The 20,510-nt window shown below is 45.4% G+C and overlaps 1 long non-coding RNA gene and 1 pseudogene across 1 annotated transcript, besides 2 other annotated features; one reads left to right on the top strand and one right to left on the bottom strand.

Annotated features, from left to right (window-relative positions):
* Positions 1–217: 217 nt before the first annotated feature.
* LOC107984831 (uncharacterized) lies at positions 218–8,657 on the bottom strand. The gene is made up of 3 exons (XR_001752102.1): positions 8,525–8,657; positions 3,282–3,340; positions 218–1,778 (listed from the first exon to the last, which is right to left on the bottom strand). It is a non-coding gene; the product is annotated as an uncharacterized LOC107984831 (long non-coding RNA).
* Positions 4,565–5,064: an enhancer, noted in NCBI's record as "H3K4me1 hESC enhancer chr16:20625093-20625592 (GRCh37/hg19 assembly coordinates)". NCBI's record gives its function as "activates a minimal SCP1, AML or CMV promoter by ChIP-STARR-seq in primed H9 embryonic stem cells {active_cell/tissue: H9 hESC(primed)}" and the evidence as "EXISTENCE:reporter gene assay evidence [ECO:0000049][PMID:30033119]".
* On the top strand, positions 11,666–14,923 carry ACSM5P1 (acyl-CoA synthetase medium chain family member 5 pseudogene 1; annotated as a pseudogene).
* Positions 13,793–14,992: an enhancer, noted in NCBI's record as "MED14-independent group 3 enhancer chr16:20615165-20616364 (GRCh37/hg19 assembly coordinates)". NCBI's record gives its function as "activates an origin of replication core promoter dependent on BRD2, BRD4, P300/CBP and CDK7 cofactors, and independent of MED14, by STARR-seq in HCT116 cells {active_cell/tissue: HCT116}" and the evidence as "EXISTENCE:reporter gene assay evidence [ECO:0000049][PMID:35650434]".

Genomic DNA, 20,510 nt, shown 5'->3' with positions numbered 1-20,510 from the left:
CTGTCCTCTCTCAGTTTTGTGTATATATAAACATGTCTTTATGTAATATTTTCATCTATAACCGTAAGCCTTTTTTTCTTATATTTTTCCCATTCTTCCATACAGTGTGGACATATTTTTGGACATATTACAAATAGTGTAATGCAAATTTATAAATATTTAAAAAAAGATCTTGGCTTCCTGACCATTGTGAGTTTGTATTTTTAATCTCCATTTTAATTTGAATTACAGATTTCTAGGTAAAGTTTTGTAATTATTTTAAAAAATATTTGCAATGTTTTTGTTACATAAGGGAAAGTGAATCCTGAGTAGAGCAGGGAAAGAATAAGATGCTCTGCTCCGGATCGGGAAGGAGCAGGGGGTGAAATGTTACAAATTCTAGAACTTAGAGAACTGAAGATAATTACTTCCTTTTCAAATTGTTAAACATTTTAACCTGTGGTAAAATATTCATAATAAAACATTTATAACATGACCATTGCCGTCTTAACAATGTTGAAGTGTACAGTTCAGGTGTGAGGTATTCTCATGTCATTTTTCAGTTATTTCCTAGATGTCTTTTCCCAAGTCTGTCTCAAAGTCATGAAATGTAAATGATGGATCCACAGATCTGCAGCAGAGAGCTTGGAGGTCCAACAAGCAGAGCCAGGAAGTTATGCTGTCTGTTGGAGTCCCCATAGTATGGAAATGAGTTTGCCCTGGAAAGGAGAACAGTTTCTTGCCTTCAGGTCAATGACAAGAGTTCCAGTCCTGAGTCATGGAAACATGCTGTAGTGAACTGCAGGGTTAAGGACATCATGTCCTGGAAGGATCTCTCAAAGGCTAATTGTCTGGGTTCTGGCATCAGCCTGTAAATGAGAATCAGGTCTTCCTATGGGAGGAGTCAGATGAAGAGTGATCCCCTGCTCCATCTTGATGGAGTTAGTTGTGATGAGTTGGTGAGATCTGATTTTCCACAGTGAACTAAAATGAGCTTTCAGTGTGTCAAGCACAAGACTGACCCCAGAAGTACACATAGCACATCTCATAGAAGCTTCTAATGGTCCTTATTTACTTAAGAATAGGACTATGGAGACACAAAGACGAGCTGGAAATTACAGGTGACTTGCTAACAGGCCAGAGTGTTGTTTTTTTTTTTAAATTCTTTCTGTCTGTCAATGGGAGGTGTCAATTCTTCCTCCCCAGTGTTGAATATCAGTTGTTTCATGTATGGGAAGGCAGTGGGGGACCTTTGAATCATGGCCTTCAGATGCCAGAATGGCAGAAAGAATCCCACATGGGCAAGTGGATCATGTGTGTGCATTTCTCTCCGTTTTCATCTCAGGAAGCTGAGAATGAAAGAATGTGAGTGAGCAGAAAAAGAGAGGCAGCTGTCAGAGGTGGAGGAAAAAGGGAAATGGGTTATGGAAAAAATTCACACCTACAAGTGAGTTCAGAAACTGAACACCAGCCACATGGGAAACTTCCACTGGAGTATTTTGTTTTTAACTTTTGTACAATGTTTAGACCCAGTTAACACAGAAATACAAACAAATGGTCAGAAGACATATTTAGAGAAAGAGAGAATTCACACAAGAGAAAACAAAATACCTTAAGATTTATCAGTGACCAAGACATGTGAAGTAGCAAAACATCTGACCCCAATGGGGTCAGACTGTGTAGAAACTCAGTTCATTTCTGCCATTGTAGGGGTGGTATCCGTTGCCGTCATTCTTAGAAAAGCGTGTTGTAGGATCAACCACATTTTTTCAAATGGACTGTGCCCAGCCGTTTCTACTCTGTGAAATATGGCAAGGATATTAATACAAGGAGACTAGAGCTTTATAATCAAAGATGCCCAATGAAGGATGAATGAGAATGGGTAAGGACAATGTGAACTCAGAACCCAGCAGGCATTAAGTAAAAGAGGAAGAATCATTATAGCAACAGTTTTGATCATACTGTACTTTGAAAACCATGTGAAATACATCTTCTGTGTATAGATAGTGTAAGGGTGCAGTTGTGAGGATAACAGAAACATGGCAGATTATTTAAAATCATACTGAAATGGTGCTTATTTGATGAAAGTGATTCTAAACCATTGGAAAATAATTCAAGACACCCAAGAGCTTTGGGGGTGAGTAGAAAGCTACTACAGACGCAAGGTAAGGAGCTTCCTCCCCACAGTTGTAGGCTCCTTCGGTGCTGATGTGGATGATGCCATGGCCGTTAGACTCTCTCAACATAGAATTTCTCATGTGTTGGTTTTTTTCAGATTGTCCCTTCTATAAGAAAGGCCCTTGACAACTGGACAGTTTTTCCCCCTTGCTTTTGGGCATAGTCTGCCAGGTCAGCACGTGGATGTATTTTTCTCCCCACAGCTCTGTGCAAAAGCCTTGTAGAGGGAGATGGCAGAGAGGAAGGCTGCCTACAAGCAGCACAGGTAGGTAATTGTGATAGACATTTTTAAGGATGTTTTTGTTTTCAGATGAAGCTTTGAGTGTCTAGTAAAGAACTTGGTGTTTTAATTCTTCTTCAAGTGAATTCTTTCTCTGTCTTCCAGATGGGAAATGATGGAAAAGCAGAGAGTCATGGAGATACACAAGAGTCAGGAGCCAGCCCAGGGACAACTGGGCCTAGAGAGCACTTTCTGGAGAGGTAGGAGCTCACTGTGAAGGTAGTCACTTCTGCTGCACAATCCACACACCCTGCTTCTCCTTTTGGGGTTGAGAGCTCAGGTGGGGTAACAATTATATTTCCTGGAAGCAATTCTAAGCACTTACTACAGAGAACATGTGTCTCTCTTGGTGGCAGGACCCTATTTTTCTCAGATGCCCTAGCTGAATGTCTTTTCGATGGTCCCCTGAGAATGGCAGAGCTCAGGATCATCCACTGACTGTGGACGTTGCCCCACTCTGACATCTTGGTTACTTTTAACTGAGAAGAGGAGCCTAGAAAGCAAAGGGACCAGCTCCCCTTCCACCTTCGGTCAGCATCTAGGCTTTATTTTTCCTTCATTTGAGAAAAGTAATACCAATAACATTTTAGAATGGGAGCTATATGTGCTGATGAGAGCAGACGTTTTCTGGCTATGTCTTCATAGATCAATATTGCACCATGAGGTCTGGTTTAAGAAAAGAAGCATTTATTTACATTTTTTGGAGCTTCATTTTTTTGTTTAATTGTTTATTGTGGACTATATAATATAACTCCATTAGGAAATTAAATTTCCATGTAATCTTACTCTTCTAACATTCTAGGTGTAACCCTAAAACTTTTCAGTTAATTTCTGACACTCTTACCTTTTCTCAGTACTTCTAGTCAGTTTATGTCCATTTCTGTTCTTACATTTTGATAGTACCTGGACAGATATGAAAGTTAAAGTAGCTATAAATGTACAGAACTTTAAATGTCCACACGATTTGAAGAAAAGGAGCAGTGCTGTTTCTTTTCAGGGTTTATTGATATTCTTCCAATCCATGGCTGTTTCTATTTTAAATTTTAGTCTCTGTTTACAGGATGAGTGATCTTTTTTCTGATGTGTACTGGGAACCCCTGATTTAGAGCTCATTTGTAGCTTCTTAGAGCCCTACCTGTCCAGAGGCGGTTGATAGTTAAGAAAACCCATGGACCAGGGCTCTGAGGTGTCTGAGCCAGCCAGCCACTCAGCCTCTAATCCAGCCTCTTGGCCAGCCAGCAGCTCAGCCAGCCCAGCCTCCCAGCCCTCTTCTAGGTCAGACTCTCACCCAGCCATTCGGCCAGCCTCCCAGCTGGCCTTTAAGACAGCTAGCCTGTGGGTCTCTCTGCCAGCCTCCCAGGCAGTCTGTTGGTGAGCCTTCGAGGTAACCTCTAAACCAGGGAGCCAGCCCACCTCTGGGCAAGATTCCAAGCCACCCCCTTGGCAGATCTCTCAGCCAGCCAACCTGCCAGCCAGTCTCTTAGCAAGCTTCTCAACCAGCCAGGCTCTCAGGAAGTCTCTAAGCCAGCCTCTCAACCAGGCAGCCTCTGAGCCAGTCTCTCAGGCAGCCAGCCTCTCAAACAGCCTCCCAGCCAGCCTCTCAGCCAGCCTCTCAACTGCCCTTTCAAGCAGCTAGCCTCTCAGCCAGCCCACCTACTAGCTGGCCTCCAGGCAAGCCTCTAATCCAGCCAGCCTCTCAGTAACCCTCTAAGCCAGACTTGCAGGCAGGCAGCCTCTCAGCCAGCTTCCCAGGCAACCAGCCTCTCAGCCAGGCAGCCACCCAGACTGCATCTTGACCAGCCTTCCAGATAAACCCTTGCTCAGCCTGACAGCCAGCCAGCCTGACAACCATGCTCTAGGCAAGCCTTTAATACAGCCAGCTTCTCAGCAAGCCTCTAAGCCAGCCTCTCAACCAGGCAGCTTTTGAGCCAGGCTTTTAGGCAGCCAGCTTGTCAAACAGCCTCCCAGTCAGTCTCTCATCCAGGCTCTCATGCATTTAACCTCTTGCCCAGCCTCCCAGGTGTCCTCTTGGCCAGCCTATATGCACCACCTTTGCCAGCCTCTCAGTCAGTCAGCCTGATAGCCAACCTCTCAGCAAGCCTCTAAGACAGCCTCTCAGCCAGGCAGCCTCTCAGCCATCCTCTCAAGCAGCCACCCTCTCAAACAGACTCTTAGAAGTCTCTCAGTCAGCCGTCCTCTCAACAGGCCTCTAAACTGGCTTCTCAGCCAGGTAGATTCTCAGCCAGACTTCCGCTCAACCAGTCTCTCAAACAGCCAGACAGCCAGTCTCTCAAACAGCCAGACAGCCAGTCTCTCAAACAGCCAGACAGCCAGCCTCTCAGTCAGCCTGCCTGCCGGCTTCTTGCTCAGCCTCCTCAGCCAGCCTCTCAAACAGCTTCATGGCCAGCCTCTCAGCAAGACAGTTAGCCAGCCATTGTCTCAGCAAACATCTCAGCCAGCCTCTCAGTCAGGCAGATTCTCAGCCTGGCATTTTCTCAGCCTGCTTCTCAGCCAACCAGTCAACCAGCCTCTCAGCTGGTTTCCCCAGCCAGCCTGTTAAACAGCCTCCCAGACAGCCTCTAGGCCAGACTCCCAGCCTGCCTTTTCCCCAGCCTCCCTTGCAGCTATCCTCTGGACCAGGCTATGAGCCACTCTCTCAGCCAGCAGGACAGCCAGCCTCTGAGTCCGTCTCCCAGCTGGCCTCTTGACTGGCTTCCTAAGTGGCCTCTATACCAGCGAGCCAGCCAGCCTCTCAGCAAGCCTCCCAGCTGCACCATTGGCTGGCATCTCTGCCAGCCAACCGGCCAGTCGGCATCTCAGCAAGCCTCAGCCAGCCATCCGCACAGCAAGCCTCAGCCAGCCAGCCTCACAGCAAGCCTCTAAGCCAGCCTCTCAACCAGGCAGCCTCTCAGCCAGACACTAAGTCAGACACTCAGTCAGACAGACCGCCTCTCAGCCGGAAAGCCTGCCATCCAGCCTCACAACAAGCTACTTGGCCAGCCTTTAAGATAGCCAACCAAGCAAACTCTCAGCCAGCCAGCCAGCCTGCCAGCCAGCTTCTAAGCAAGTAAACCTCTCAACCTGCCTCTCAGCTGGCCTTTAAGTGAGCCTCTCCACCAGGCAGCCTATGAGCCAGCCTGTCAAGCAGCCATCCTCTGTAACATACCACCAGGCTCTCGGAAAGCCTCTCAGCCAGCCAACCTCTCAGCAAACCTCTAAGCCAGCCTCTCAGCCAGGCAGAAACACAGCCAGCCATCCTCTCAGACATCCTCTCGGCCAGCCTCCAAGACGCCCCATTGACCAGCGTCTCAGCCAGCTAGCCTGCTTCCCAGCCTCTTGGCAAGTCTCTCAGCAAGCCAGCCTCTCAGCAAGCCACTAAGCCAGCCTCTCAACAACGTGGTCTCTGAGCTAGCCTCTCAGGCAGCCAACCTCTCAACCTCCCAACAAGCCTCTCAGCCAGCCAGCATCTCAGCAAGCCTCTAACCCAGCCTCTCAACCATGCAGATTCTCAGTCAGCCATTCTCACCTCCACCCTCTCAGCTAGCTACACAGCCTGCACTTGGCCAGACTCCCCAGACAGCCTCTAAAACAGCCTCTAAACAGCCTGATATCCAGCCCCCCAGCCTGCCTTTTCTCCAGTCTCCCATGCAGCCATCCTCTGGACCAGCCTATCAGCCAGCCTCCCAACCATCAAGGGAGCCAGCCTCTCAACCAGCCTCCCAGCGAGCCTCTTGACCAGTGAGCTAGATGGCCCTTCGACCATCCTCCAAGTCACCCCCTTGACTTGCCTCAGCCAGCTAGCCTGCTAATCAGGCCCTCAAAAAGCCTCTCAGCTAGCAAGCCCCTCAGCAAGCCACTAAGCCAGTCTCTCAGCAAGGAGGTCTCAGAGTCAGCCTCTCAGACAGCCAGCCTCTCAAACAGCCTCTAAGCCAGCTTTTCATAAATCTTCTAAGCCAGTCTCTCAGCCATGCAGATTCAGAGCCAGCCCCCCATCTGTCCTCTCACCCAGGCTTCCAGGCAGCCTCTTAGCCAACTTTCCAACCAGCCTCTCAGCAAGCCTCCCAGCTGGACTGTCGGCCAACCTCCCAGGCGTCCTTTGGCCAGCATCCCAGCCCGGCATTGGCCGATCTCTCAGCCAGCCAACCAACCAGCCAACCTCTCAGCAAGCCTCTCAGCCAGCCAGCCTCTCAACAAGATTCTAACCCAGCCTGTCAGCCAGGCAGATTCTCAGCCAGCCAACCAGCCACCTCTCTGCTGGCCTCCCCAGCCAGCCTCTCAACCAGCCTCTTAGCCATCCACTCGGCAAGCCACCCAGCAAGTCTCTTGGCCAGACTGCCAGCCTGCCAGCCTATCAGCCAGAAGGCCTGTCATGCAGCCTCACAACCAGCCCCTCTACCAGGCCCCCAGCAAACCACACAGCCAACCTTTAATACAGCTAGTCAGCCAGACTCTCAGCGAGCAAGCCTCTCAGGCAGCCACCCTTCATCCAGCCTCTCTGCTACCCTCCCAGCTGGCCTCTCATTGGCCAGCCTCCCAGGTGGCCCCTTGGCCAGTTCCCCAGCCAGCCACCCTCCCATCCAGACTTTCTCCCAGGTACTAAGCCAGCCATACTCTCAGCAAGCCTCTCAGCCTGGCAACCTCACAGCCAGGCTCTCAGCAAGCCATTCACTCAACTTGCCACTCTGCCTGCCTCCCAGCCAGCCATTTGGCCATGCAGCCAGTCTTTCATTTAGCCCTCCAGTCAACCTCTCAGCCAGCCAGACTGCCAGCCAGACTGCCAGCCTCTTGGCCAGACTCACAGCTGCCCTTTTTGCCAGCCTCTCAGCCAGCCAACCTGCCAGCTGGCCTCTCAGCAAGCAAGCTTCTCAGGCAGCCTCTCAGCCGACCTTTTAGGCAGCCAGCTCTCAGCCAGGCTGTCTGCCATCCTGCCTCTCAGCAAGCCTCTCAGCCAGCCAGCCTCTCAGTAAGACTCTAACTCAGCCAGTCAGTCAGATGGCCTTTGAAACAGTCATTTTCTCACCCAGCGTCTCAAACAACCTCCTAGCCAGCCTCTCAGCCATCCAGCCTCTCAGTAAGCCTCTAATTAGCTCAGCCAGTCAGTCAGACAGCCTTTGAAACAGTCATCTTCTCACCCAGCCTCTCAAACAGCCTCCCAGCCAGCCTCTCGGCCAGCCTCTCAGTCAATCTCTAAGCCAGCCTCTCCACCAGGCATCCTCTGAACAAGCCTCTCAGGCAGCCAGCCTCTCTCAGCCAGGCAGATTCTCAGCCAGCCATTCTCTCAGCCAGTCGCTAGCCCATTCAGCCAGCCAGCCTGTCACACAGCCTCCCATACAGCCCTCTAGGCCATCGTCCCAGTCTGCCTCTTTGGAAGCCTCTGATGCAGCCATCCTCTGGACCAGCCTATCAGCCAGCTTCTCAGTCAGCAAGACTGCTAGCCTCTCAAGGAGCCTCCCGGCTAGCCTCTCAGCCAGCCTTCCAGCTGGCTTCTTGACTAGCCTCCCAGTTGGCCTCTCAACCAGAGAGACACCTGGTCTCTCAGCAAGCCTCCCAGCCACACCCTTGGGTGGCCCCTCAGCCAGCCAACCTGCCAGCCAGCGTCTGAGCAAGCCTCTCAGCCAGCCTCTCAACCAGGCAGCTTCTGAGCCAGCCTCTCAGGCAGCAAGCTTCTCAAACAGCCTCCCAGTCAGCCTCTCGGCCAGCCTCTCAGGTGTCCTCTTGGCCATCCAGGCAGCTGGCTTCTTGGCCAGCTTCCAAGACCCCCTTGACTGGCCTCTCAGCCAGCCAGCCTTCCCGCCAACCTATCAATAAGCCTCTCAGCCAGTCACCCTCTCAGCAAGCCTCTAAGCTAGCCTCTCGGTCAGTGAGATTATCAGCCTGCCATCTTCTCAGCCAGCTTTTCTCCAAGCCTCCCCAGCCAGTCTCTCAAACAGCCTCCCAACCAGCTTCCTGGCCTGCCTTTTGGTCAGCCTCCCATGCCGCCATCCTCTGGACCAGCCTCTCAGCCAGCCTCTGTACCAGATTGCCAGCCGGCCTCTTGGCAAGCCTTTCAGCCACCCCCTTGTCCAGCCTCTCAGCCAGCCAACTTACCAGTCAGCATCTCAGCAAGCCTCTAATCCAGCCATCCTCTCAGCCTGCCTCTAAGCCAGCCTTTCAACCAGTCAACCTCTGAGGCAGCCAGCCTCTCATACAGCCTCTCAGGCAGCCTCTTGTCTGGCTCTTAATCCAGACAGCCTCTCAGCCAGTCTCTCTGAGAGGTCTGAGTGCCGGCCTCTCAGACTTCCTCTGGACCAGCCTCCTAGCTGCCCCCTTGGCCAGCCTCTCATCCAGCCAGCCTGCCAGCTCTTATTGAAGGGCTGCAGGGTGTCTTGTCTGCACATGGCTTCCATTACCATTGAAGGAACATTTACTAGGAGAATAGCAATTGTTTAGAAGATCAGTTTTACTAGCCTTTAAAATAAGCGCAATAGCACATTAAAAAATCCAAGAAATCAACACTTAAAAAATTTGTGTTTCTGGACTCAGAATTAACATAATAACAAACAATCAGATTTAAGGGGAAAGAACTATTATCACAAATTAATAACTCATCCAATGCCTATTAGTTAAGCAACTACTATATGCTCAAAATTGTTTTACATGATCTTTGCCCTCATGGATAAAGAGAACAAAGGTAAAAAAAAAAAAATACTTTTGACCAAAAGCTCTGTTGGCATCCTACTAAACAAATGCAAACCTATTTAATTTTCATAATGTAAATGGCAGCTATTTTTATAATTCTTCTGCTAATAAATTATTTTTTTCTGATTTTTTTGGTAAAACCCAATATTCATAATGAAGTCCAGAACCATGAATTGTTTAAAATGATTTCTTCTTATTTATGATTACAAGTATACCTCTACAGGAAGTCAGTATACTCATACCAAAGCTAGTATTCCAGAAGAAAATGGCAAATTTAATAATTCCCAGGAACACAACAACAATGTTAAGCATCCAAGGAATTCAAAAAAAGTCAGGCCCAGGATGAAGATGGCCAGGCAGAAAATTGATGACCTGGAATAATAGCAGTTGAAATAATGAGAAGGGTCAATGACATTTACAATATTTCAGTCACAAAGAATTATCCTTAGAAACCCTCAACCTCCTCCAAGAAGTAAGTGCACCCTCAGATATCACCAGGGGATTCCACCGTTTCAAGAAAGATTGGAAATTACCAGTCCCATGTTTCTCGCATGGCTGGTAGTCTTCTTAGGCTTTGTGAATGTGGTGTGTCTTTTTTCTTGGTCTAAAGCAGGGATGTCCAATCTTTTGGCTTCCTTGGGCTATATTAGAAGATGGAGAATTTTCTTCAACTTGGGCCACACATAAAATACACTAACACTATCAATAGCTGATGAGCTATAAGAAACACACAAAAAACTCATAATGTTTTAAGAAAGTTTACACATTCATTTTGGGTTGCATTCAAAGCTGTCCTGGGCTGCATGTGGCCTGTCAGCTGTGGGTTAGACAAGCTAGGTATAAGGTAATTACCTTTTCTTTAAAGTTATTTACTTTTATTTACTTATTTACTTATATTTACTTATGTTTTAAATTGAATATGACATTGTATCTATTTGTCATGTACCATATGATGAAAGAATCCCTCTGAATCATACTTCTTTCTTAGAGTACATGAATTTTTGCTATTTAAAGATCAGCATAAGTAAAAAAAATACAATAAAGAGATGATTTCATTCAGAAATAAGTATCAAATTTTAGTGCTTAAACATAACCAATGTAGAGGTCATAAAAATGGCATGAATAGTATGGGGTTTCTCTAAGATTCTTGATATTAATTCCATTAGACTCTTACGTGAATTAAGACAAAGATTTCACCTGAGTAACTTCCAACACCTTCTGATAACATTCCTACATTGATTCCTTGGATTTAACTGTATATTCTTGAAAACATCTTAATTTTAAATGTTTCAAGATGGCGAATTAAACAGAGATAGCCATTCAACAGGTTAAACTCAGAATATGCTGAGTCCAAAATGGAAAGGATTGAATTAGAGATCTGTGCAACAATGGGAATGATTTCAGAAACATTGTGTTGAGCAGAATAAGGCAGACACAAAAGAGTACCTATGGCATGGCATGCATCTATATATGTGAAATTCCAGACTAAGCAAAATTAACCTACTATGAGAAAGGGATTGGCTAGGAAGAGGGAGAGTTCACTTTCTGTGGTGACATAATAGTGTAGATCTTGAAAAGGAGGTGGGTTATGCTGGTGTAGGTACTTTTCAAAGTTAGTAAACTCACACTTAAGATTTGCATATTTTCTTCTATGTCACTCTTCTTTAGAAGAAAATTTTATAAAGAAATATTGAATTCTAGTTAATGTTAGTCTTGCCAAACTATTCAGCAGGAAGTATGTTGATGCCTCCAATTCAGTTGGAAATACATGTAAAATAAGATGGGCTGAGGGATGGGTAGAGGAATGGAAAGATGGGTAGATATGTGTTGTCATGTTCATTAAAATGTTAACAAATCAATGTTGTATGTATGAGCATTTTTATAACAAAATGTTGATGGTAATTGCCAAAAGTCACTTGTCTCATGTCAGTGAGTTTTCCTTTGAACAGGAGTTCGAAAATAATTATTATTCATGTTCTATATGTTGGAACAATTTGAGACACTCTATCAATTGGATCTTTTCCCTGTCAATTGGCCATGTAGTTGCAAAAATGCAAGGATACACAGGGAAATCTTGCAGAGGTGCTGCTTTCTGGGTTTTGTTGTTTTCAGGACAAAGACCAAATGGGAAGAACAAGTCGCATATCTCTTTCCAAGGGAGAGGATTGGCAAACTATTGGCAATGGTACTAGAACATTGTAAATTGCACAGGTGGCTCACATTCTATTTCTTTTGGACGGTGCTGCCCCAGAGCTGTCTTCAGCTTTGCAAGGTCAGTTCAGGATTGGCCAAAGGCTTTTTGAGGGATTGCCTTTGAAGTATTGAGCCTGGAGAAGTGGGCTCTGAGTTCTGACCTCAGACCCAGAGACCCACAAGTCAGTGAGAGGTCAAAAGGACGGACCTCGGGGTCAGAGGAGAGAAATGACCATCACACAGCAGAACTGAGACTTTCTGCTCAGAAATGTGGAGAGTTTGTTCTACAAGTCAGTAGGGACCACAGTCACCATCAGCACTGACCACAGGTTTCTCCTAACCTCTGTGTTGTCCCCAAAGCCCAGAATTTATGACAATGCTCTCTTTCCTCTCTTTGGTGACAGACAGGAGGCGACCGCATGAGACCATGGCTGAGACACCTAGTCCTCCAGGCACTGAGGAACTCCAGGGCATTCTGTGGGTCTTGTGGGCAGCCAGCACCTCTACCTGTTCCTCAGAAGATCGTGGCCACCTGGGAAGCCATCAGCCTGGGAAGGCAGCCGGTGCCTGAATACTTCAACTTTGCCCATGATGTGCTGGATGTGTGGAGTCGGCTGGAAGAGATGAAGCCTGTTCTGTCCTAGAGTCCATCTGGGGCATCTGAGGCTGCCCTCATGTACCACAATGAGACTCAAGGCTCCAAGACATGTTGATGAGGAAATTTGGACCTGGGAATTTTGCTAGTTCTAAAATGTAAACTGTTGGCATTTGACACTTAGGAAAAAAATTCTGAGTCAGTGTTGTGAGCCTTAGACATGCTTGTTCCTTCTCTGAAGTGTCCTGCGTTCTTGAGCCCAAATCACACAGTGAGACAGTTATGTCCCTTCCGATTCCCTTCCAGTTGTTCATCAACTGAAGGAGGAAGTTTTGTTTTGCTGCTACTCTATCTTTGATGTCTCTCTCTCACTGTCATGCCCTTCTCTTCTAAATAAGGAAAGAAGGCCGGGCGCGGTGGCTCATGCCCATAATCCCAGCACTTTGGGACACCGAGAAGGGCAGATCACCTGAGGTCAGGAGTTCGAGACCAGCCTCGCCAACATGGTGAAACTCCATCTCTACTAAAAATACAAAAAAAAAAAAAAAAAAAAATTACCCAGGCATGGTGGTGCACACCTGTAGTCCCAGCTACTTTGGAGGCTGAAGCATGAGAATTGCTTGAACTCAGGAGGCAGAGGTTGCAGTGAGCCAAGATCATGCCACTGCACTCCAGCCTAGACAACAGAGTGAGACTCCACCTCAAAAAATAAAATAAAATACAACAAAACAATATAAAATAAGGAAAGAATAGGGCTCAGGCTCAAAGCTTTTTGCAGATCATAACAGATACATAGAATTGAATAAGATAACCCTGATTTCTTTGTGTGTCTCTGTGCATCTGCTTTCTTCTTTATTTTCTCTTATATCTGTGTCTGTTGGGTCTCTCTATTTCATGGTTACCTTTTATTTGTGTTACATGATACTAACTTTTCATTTATAAGAGGAAGACATACTTGTAAAACTGTATTTCAACCAATGTGAAGCTTAACCAATGAGAAAAGCCTTTTCCCTAGGGGCTTTTTGTCCAAAACAATTACAGACAAATGTTTAACTTCATTGTTGCCTAAGGTGATGGATAACAGTAGGGACAAACAATAGACTCACCAAAAAGTGAAAAAAGAAAAGCTGGAGAATACAAAACTGGAAACATAAAATTTAATTCAAAGAATTGTATTCATGTTAATTATAAGAAGAGATTGTTTAAAGAAAAAGTATGAAGTAAATGGCGTTGTTAGTAGATACAATAAAATTAACTGTCAGCAGATGTGGTGAAACTTATGAAGGTGGTATGAGGATGACTGAGACTTAAAAGCAGGATTTGCAGTCAGATAGACATTGTTCATCCATGTACATGAAGTGTGACCTTGGACAAGTGCCCTAAGTTCTTTAGATCTCAACTTTCTCATCTGTAAAATGGTAGTCAGACCATATGCTACTTAGAGTAATAGTGAGAATTAAATGAGAATTGCATGTAAGAGATGAAGCCAGGATGCTCCATTACTGATGGCCTACAAAAATCGAAGTTCTTTTTGCAATACTAGGGGCATCCTTAGAAGACTTCTCCTAATGATAAAAACAAGCAAGCAGGATTAGGTCAGGAAAAAAAATGGTAGAATAAGGACTGTCCAGCTATGTGGTAGCCTTGAAAAATAACAGCCCCCATTTCTGGTGCATCACAGCAACCATTAGATGGGCCAGAATGGAGTTGGAGTTTTTTCAAAGCTTCACTTATGAAGAACTGTTATTATTTGAGCTGCCCATTGGTCCTTTGGAAGACCCTACTTGTAAAACTGTATTTGAATCAACTTGAAGCTCAACCAATGAGAAAAGCCTTTTCCCTGGGGGTTTTTGTCCAAAACAATTACAGACAAATGTTTTAGCTTCATTGTTGCCTAAGGTGATGGATAACAGTGGGACAAACAATAGATTCACCAAAGAGTGAAAAAAGAAAAGCTGGAGAATCCAATGTCTATGGGAGCTTTAAAAAATTCTATTGTATTCCTGGAAATCTAGAAATCAACACACGTAAGTAAGGCTGTGTGCTTTCCCAGGGCATTGCACATGCTTAGGAAAGATCTGAGGAAACTCTAGGCTCCCACTTCTGGCAGACTGAGAGTTGGAGCATGCAGGAAATTAAGACTAAGGCAGGATTGTTAATTGCCTGGCTGAGTGCTAAAGGTGTGCCCCAACACCCACCCAAAGACTGGGAGATTTATTGGTTTCAGGCATTTAAAGAAATTTCTGTCTAATCATAAGATGACTACTAAGTGATGCTGAGTGAGTAAGTGATCACGCACTTATTCAGAAGGCTAGGGTTTTTAGGCTGTTATTATTATTATTGTTACCTCTTCCAGCTCATGCATTCCAACCCTCCCCAGCCCCTTCCTGCCTTCATCTCTTACCTCTATACCCAAAGTCTTCCCTACTATCCACTCAACATCCCCTTCTGTTTTATGCCAGGGACTGTGATGATTCCAGGTGTCACTCAGCTGACGCAGAAGGACCTCAAGTACCGGCTGCACGCGTCCAGGGCCAAGTCCATTATCACCAGTGACTCCCTAGCTCCAAGGGTGGACACCATCAGCGCCGAATGCCCCTCCCTCAAGACCAAGCTGCTGGTGTCAGACAGCAGTCGGCCAGGCTGGTTGAACTTCAGGGAACTCCTCCGGTGAATTGGGGCTCTCCAGGAGAACAGCAGAAAAATGAAGTCATTTCCCCTTTAAGCAACAAGAGATGAAATGCATTGCTGATTCCACACATAGAGAGCGAATCAGAGAGGAACACTCCCATTGGCAGCCAGGCTGACTTGAGCATAATCCTGGTCCCTACCTTAATGTTCAAGGTCCCTCATTCAGTCAGTGCTGGATTTGTCAGCAGCTTTTCTGTGCTTCATTTGCTTCTATAATGCGGTGGTAGTTATTAGAGCTACCATTCAGAGTACATGAAATAACCAATATGGTGCATTTAGCACATAGCAGGTGGTCAGTTAATAATAAACTAGTGGCCATGTATTGGGTACTTAGTGTATCGCTAGATACTGTGCTATGTAAGCCTTCACCTTCATTCATTCATGCAGCGAAGATTTAATGAACATCTATTTCACGACAAGCATTGTGTTTGGTGTTCAGAACACCATAATGGATCAAACATCATCTTATTTAATCCCTGAAAAGGACATTGTGATGGGCCCTTTAACTCAGTTTTACAGATGAGGAAACTGAGACTTGGAAAACTAAAGTGACTTGCCCAAGGTGCTAAAAAGTAGTCAAGTCAGGAGTGGGCAGAGCCGAAAGCATATTTGCCTTGGAGCAAGGGCCTGGTGGAAACCCATCTCAGAATTTGAGACTTTGTCCTGATTGGAAGCCAGAACCCAAAAGGAGCCTCTCAGGGGCCTGAACCATTGAGTCATGCATGCTCACCCCACAGACCAGCTGCATCAGATTCACCTGGGTGCTGTTTTGAATACAGATGACAAGGCCTCATATCTGACCTACTTAACCAGACATAGCTGAGCAAGAGCCCTGGGGATCTTTTTTAAAAAATCAGCCCATAGGGCCAGGCGCCATGGCTCACGCCTGTAATCCCAGCACTTTTGGAGGCTGAGGCAGGCAGATCACCCGAGGTCAGGAGTTTGAGACCAGCCTGACCAACATGGAGAAACCCCGTCTCTACTAAAAATACAAAATTAGCTGGATGTAGTGGCACATGCCTATAATCCCAGCTATTTGGGAGGCCGAGGCAGGAGAATCACTTGAACCCGGGAGGCAGAGGTTGCAGTGAACCAAGATCACGCCATTGCACTCCAGCCTGGGCAACAAGAGCGAAACACCATCTCAAAAGAAAAAAAAAAATCAGCTCATATGATTTTGAGAGCTGTCAGGTGGGCCTAGATCAGTGGTTCTCAATTTTGGCTGTTACTAGAATTACTGAGAAGCATTTAAGAAAACATCAAAGATTCTGATTTTATTTTGTTCAGGGTGGATACAGACAAGTTTCTTCCAAAAATTTACCAGGGGACTTCACAGTGCAGCCAGGGATGAGAGCCCGTGGATTAGCTGATCATCCAGATCACAGAACTTTGGGAATTACCTAGATCTCAAAACCCCATATTGGGGGAAACCTTTAGAAAAGAGTTCTAAATTATTAGAAATTGGGATGGGGGTGGAAGCTGTGCCTAAATGTGCAGAATTATAGACATGGACGTGTGTGTGTTCTACCAGAAAGTCCTCATACCTTGGTAAGAAAGCATGGGCTCTTTTGAGTGAGTTATGTAACCATTTTGAGCCTCAGTCTCCTGGTCTGCAAAAGGGTTATAATGATAGTACCTGCCCCTTGAGGTGGTTGCAGATTACCCAAGCCAGAGCTTTCAGCACAGCACCTCGCATGTGGTATTTATGAAACGGTAGTCATATTGTTGTTATACATATTATTGGTGCTACTAACTGTTTTTACCGTGGTAGTGCCACCTAGTGTTTTTACGTTTTACAGGGAGGCATCTACAGAGCACAACTGCGTGAGGACAAAGTGTCAAGACCCACTGGCTATCTACTTCACCAGCGGAACCACCGGGGACCCCGAGATGGTCGAGCACTCCCAGAGCAGCTACGGACTGGGTTTTGTGGCCAGCGGAAGGTACCAGAGCAGCTTGTCTAGAGCATCCAAGAACAGAAAGTGGGGAGTGGTCTGGAGGGGGTGGTGTGAGGGGAAAGGTGTCAGGAACTGAGGTCAGAGAGCCAGCAGAATTACTGAGAAGCCAATAGGAGCAGCTTAGGAAGGATCTTGATGGTTCTGGATTTTACTCTGAGCGAGGTGAAAAGCCACGGGAGGTTTCTTGTTAAATCGTGCTATATATATATATATATATATATATATATACACACACACACACACACACACACATATATACACATACACATATAAATATGTGTATGTATACATATATATACATACACATAAACATATATATACATATATCATAAATGTACCCTTTTAACCATTTTAAGTGTACAGTTTAATGTCATTAAATACATTCACATTGTTGTGCAACCATGATCACCATCCATTTCCAGAATTTACTTTATCTTTCCAAATGAGAACTATGCCCCCATTACCCAATAACACCCCATTACCCTCTCCCCTCACCCCTGGTAACCTCTATTTTACTTTCAATCACTGTGAATTTGATACTATAGGTATTTCGTGTGATTGGCATCATGCAGTCTGTCCTTCTGTTTTGCAATTTGGCTTCTTTCACTTAGCATAATGTCCTCAAGGTTCATCCATGTCATAGCATGTGTCAAAATTTCCTTCCCTTTTAAGACTGAAAAATATTCCATTGTATGGATAGACCACATTTTATTTATTTTATTTTTATTTTTATTTTTATTTTTTTGAGACAGAGTTTTGCTCTTTTACCCAGGCTGGTGTGCAGTGGTGCGATCTCCGCTCACTGCAACCTCTGCCTTCTGGTTTCAAGCGATTCTCTTGCCTTAGCCTCCCAGATAGCTGGGATTACAGGTGCCCGCCACCACACCTGGCTAATTTTTGTATTTTCAGTAGAGATCGGGTTTCACCATGTTGGCCAGGCTGGTCTTGAACTCCTGACCTCGTGATCCTCCCGCCTCAGCCTCTCAAAGTGCTGGAATTACAGGCATGAGCCACTGCACCTGGCCGTGACCACATTTTAAATAATCCATTCACCTGTTGATAGACACTTGGGTAGCTTCCACATTTTGGCTATTGTCAATAATGTTGCTATAAACAATGGCATGTGAGTATCTGTTAGAGTCTCTGCTTTCACTTCTTTTGGGTATACACGCAGAAATGAAATTGCTGGATCATATGGTAATTCTATGTTTAATTATTTTTGAGAAGTGTTGGATATTTTGAGCAGAGGAGTGACATAATCTAATATGTTTTTTAAAGGCTCACTCAGGATGTTGGGTTGACAATGAAACTGTAGGGGAAACAGGTAAAAAAGATGACCAGTGCATTAAGAGGCAAGCATGGTAGCTTGCCCCGGGAGCTGTAGTGAGGGAAGAGATGAGATTCTGAATGTATTTTCAACCTAGACCCAATAAGACTTGCTGACAGAATCAGTGTGGAATGAGAAGGAGGAGTCAAGGAGAGCTCTAAGAGGAATGGCCTGAACAACTGGAAGCACTAAATGATTGGGGAAGAACTGTGGGATGAGCTGTCTGGTGGGAGGAAAACAGAGTTTGTTTATGGAGTTGTTAATTCAAGAGTCTTCTTAGACATCTCCATCCCCTTGTTAAAAGTGGAGATGTTGAGTGGGCATTTGGATACACATGTCTGAAGTTAATGAGAAAGATTCATGCTGAACTTATCAGTGTAAAGATGGTATTTAATACCATGAGATGGGATGAGATCAGCAAAGTGCAATATAAACTGAAAAGACAATGGGTCTCAGGACCAAGTGCCTGAGGCATTTCTGCACTGAAGGGGAAGACCAGGAGGACTCAGCAGAGGAGACTGAGAAGGGAACAGCCAATGAAAGGGGGAGAATGAGTAGTGCGTGTGTCCCAGGATTCAAGTGCATGACCGCTTTTCTGTCTTCCATGTTTGCAGACACAGTTTCCCATTCCTGGGATGCTCCTGCTTCTCTACCTCACCTATATAATCCCTATATATTGTTTATGTCTAACTCAAGTGTCACCTCCTCCACCACAGCATTTCTCAGAAACCCATGTCCATCATTGCTCTGGGTTAGGTGCCTATTCTCTACAATTGCACAAGGCTTTGTGTTTAGCTCTATTAAAACATGCTCTCCAGGGGCTTCCTAGATATTTATACTTCCTAAACTATAAGGCCCTCAAAGTAAGACTAATCGTTCATTTCTAGATCCCTAGTGCTAAGTCCAGACTAAATGCTAAATAAATGTTGGCTAAATAAAGTGACCTTAGCACAGAGTATTGAGGTTAATTTTTTTCCCTTATATATCACATCCACTGGACTGTGAACTTTCTGGAAACTCTTTTTGCTTCTGTATTCTTAGCCTAGGGCATAGGTACATGGAAGATGCTCAATAAATGCTGGTTGAGACAATAGTTGACTTGAAGGTTCTTGTTCAGGTTTCACAAGTATAAGTGAGTACCCACTGAGCAGGGCTCCAAATGTGGTGATATAGATAATACAATCCTTTTTAAAGGTAGAGTCATTGCCAAGGGTACTGACATTCTCTAATTTTTGGCAGATGGTGGTTGGCCTTGACCGAATCGGACGTCTTCTGGAACACGACAGACACTGGCTGGGTGAAGGCAGCCTGGACTGTCTTCTCTGCCTGGCCTAATGGATCTTGCATTTTTGTGCATGAGCTGTCCCGAGTTGATGCCAAATTTATCCTGAATGTAAGAGGAAAAACCAGTAATACCCCATATGTGTTGGGTACAAATGAGATGAGTGGGATATAGAATTTCAGGCTGCAGGAGAAAACATATAAATCAGTGAATTTAAGGCTTCTTTGGTGTGGCTCCCTGGCCTTCCGTAATCTGGTTCGTGACCACTTGGTTCCCTTCAATCATTGCCTATGCTCTAGCTAGATTCTTAGATGTAAGACTATTTCGTTGCTATTTCTCCTGCATGGGGTGCCCTTGTCTCCACCACTTTCTTCCCAATGCTCCTGCCAAAACCCTAGGTATTTGTCAAACCCTTAGGCAAAATCAGTCTACGCCTCAACTCCAAGTGCTACTGTCCATGGTGCTTAACCTGAGTAGCTGGCCCAACTAGAGAGTCCTGGTGACTCCTGCTCAGCCTCCCAGGGTCTTCTCATGGGGAGGGAGGAGATTGGTGGCCCCAGTCAAGACACAGGTCACCTTTCTTCTGCCCCCCACATCCTAACTGTCATTCCTTAAAACATCAGAGGTTCCTTCTGCTCTTATTATTTGTACTGAGATAAGCTGTATCACATGGTAGCTAACTGCACAGGCTGTGCCATCAGTCAAAGAGTCAGACCTGGACTCTGAACCTACACCTTTGATTCGCTAGCTGTGTGGCCTTGGGGAAGTTGCCTAATCTCCTGAGCTGCAGTTTCAGCCTCATCTGTAAGAAAGGGATAACATATCTCTATAGAGTTGCTGAGTGAATGAAATGATACAAGGCAAAGGGGCCAGCACATCATAGGTTATTTTTTGAAATAATTTTTAACTTTTGTGGATACATAGTAGGTGTATATATTTATGGGGTACATGTGGTGTTTTGATGTAGGCATGCAATGCGTGAAAATCACATCATAGAGAATAGGGTATCCATCCCCTCAAAGCATTTATCTTTTGTGTTACAATCTACACTCTTTCAGTTATTTTAAAATGTACAATTAAGTTTTTATTGACTATAGTCACCCTGATGTGCTTTAAAATAACAGGTCTTATTCATTCATTCTATTATTTTGGTACCAACTAACCATCCCCACCTTTCTCCCAGCCCCCGACTACCCTTCCCAGCCTCTGGTAATCATCCTTCTAATCTCTATTTCCATGAGTACAATTGTTTTGACTTTTAAATCTCACAAATAAGTGAGAATATGTGAAGTTAGTCTTTCTGTGCCTGGCTTATTTCACTTAACATGATGATATCCAGTTCCACCCAT

The sequence above is a fragment of the Homo sapiens genome, chromosome 16 (genome assembly GCF_000001405.40).
Source record: "Homo sapiens chromosome 16, GRCh38.p14 Primary Assembly".
NCBI classification, from domain to species: domain Eukaryota; kingdom Metazoa; phylum Chordata; class Mammalia; order Primates; family Hominidae; genus Homo; species Homo sapiens.
This window is presented reverse-complemented; position numbering and strand designations above follow the sequence as displayed.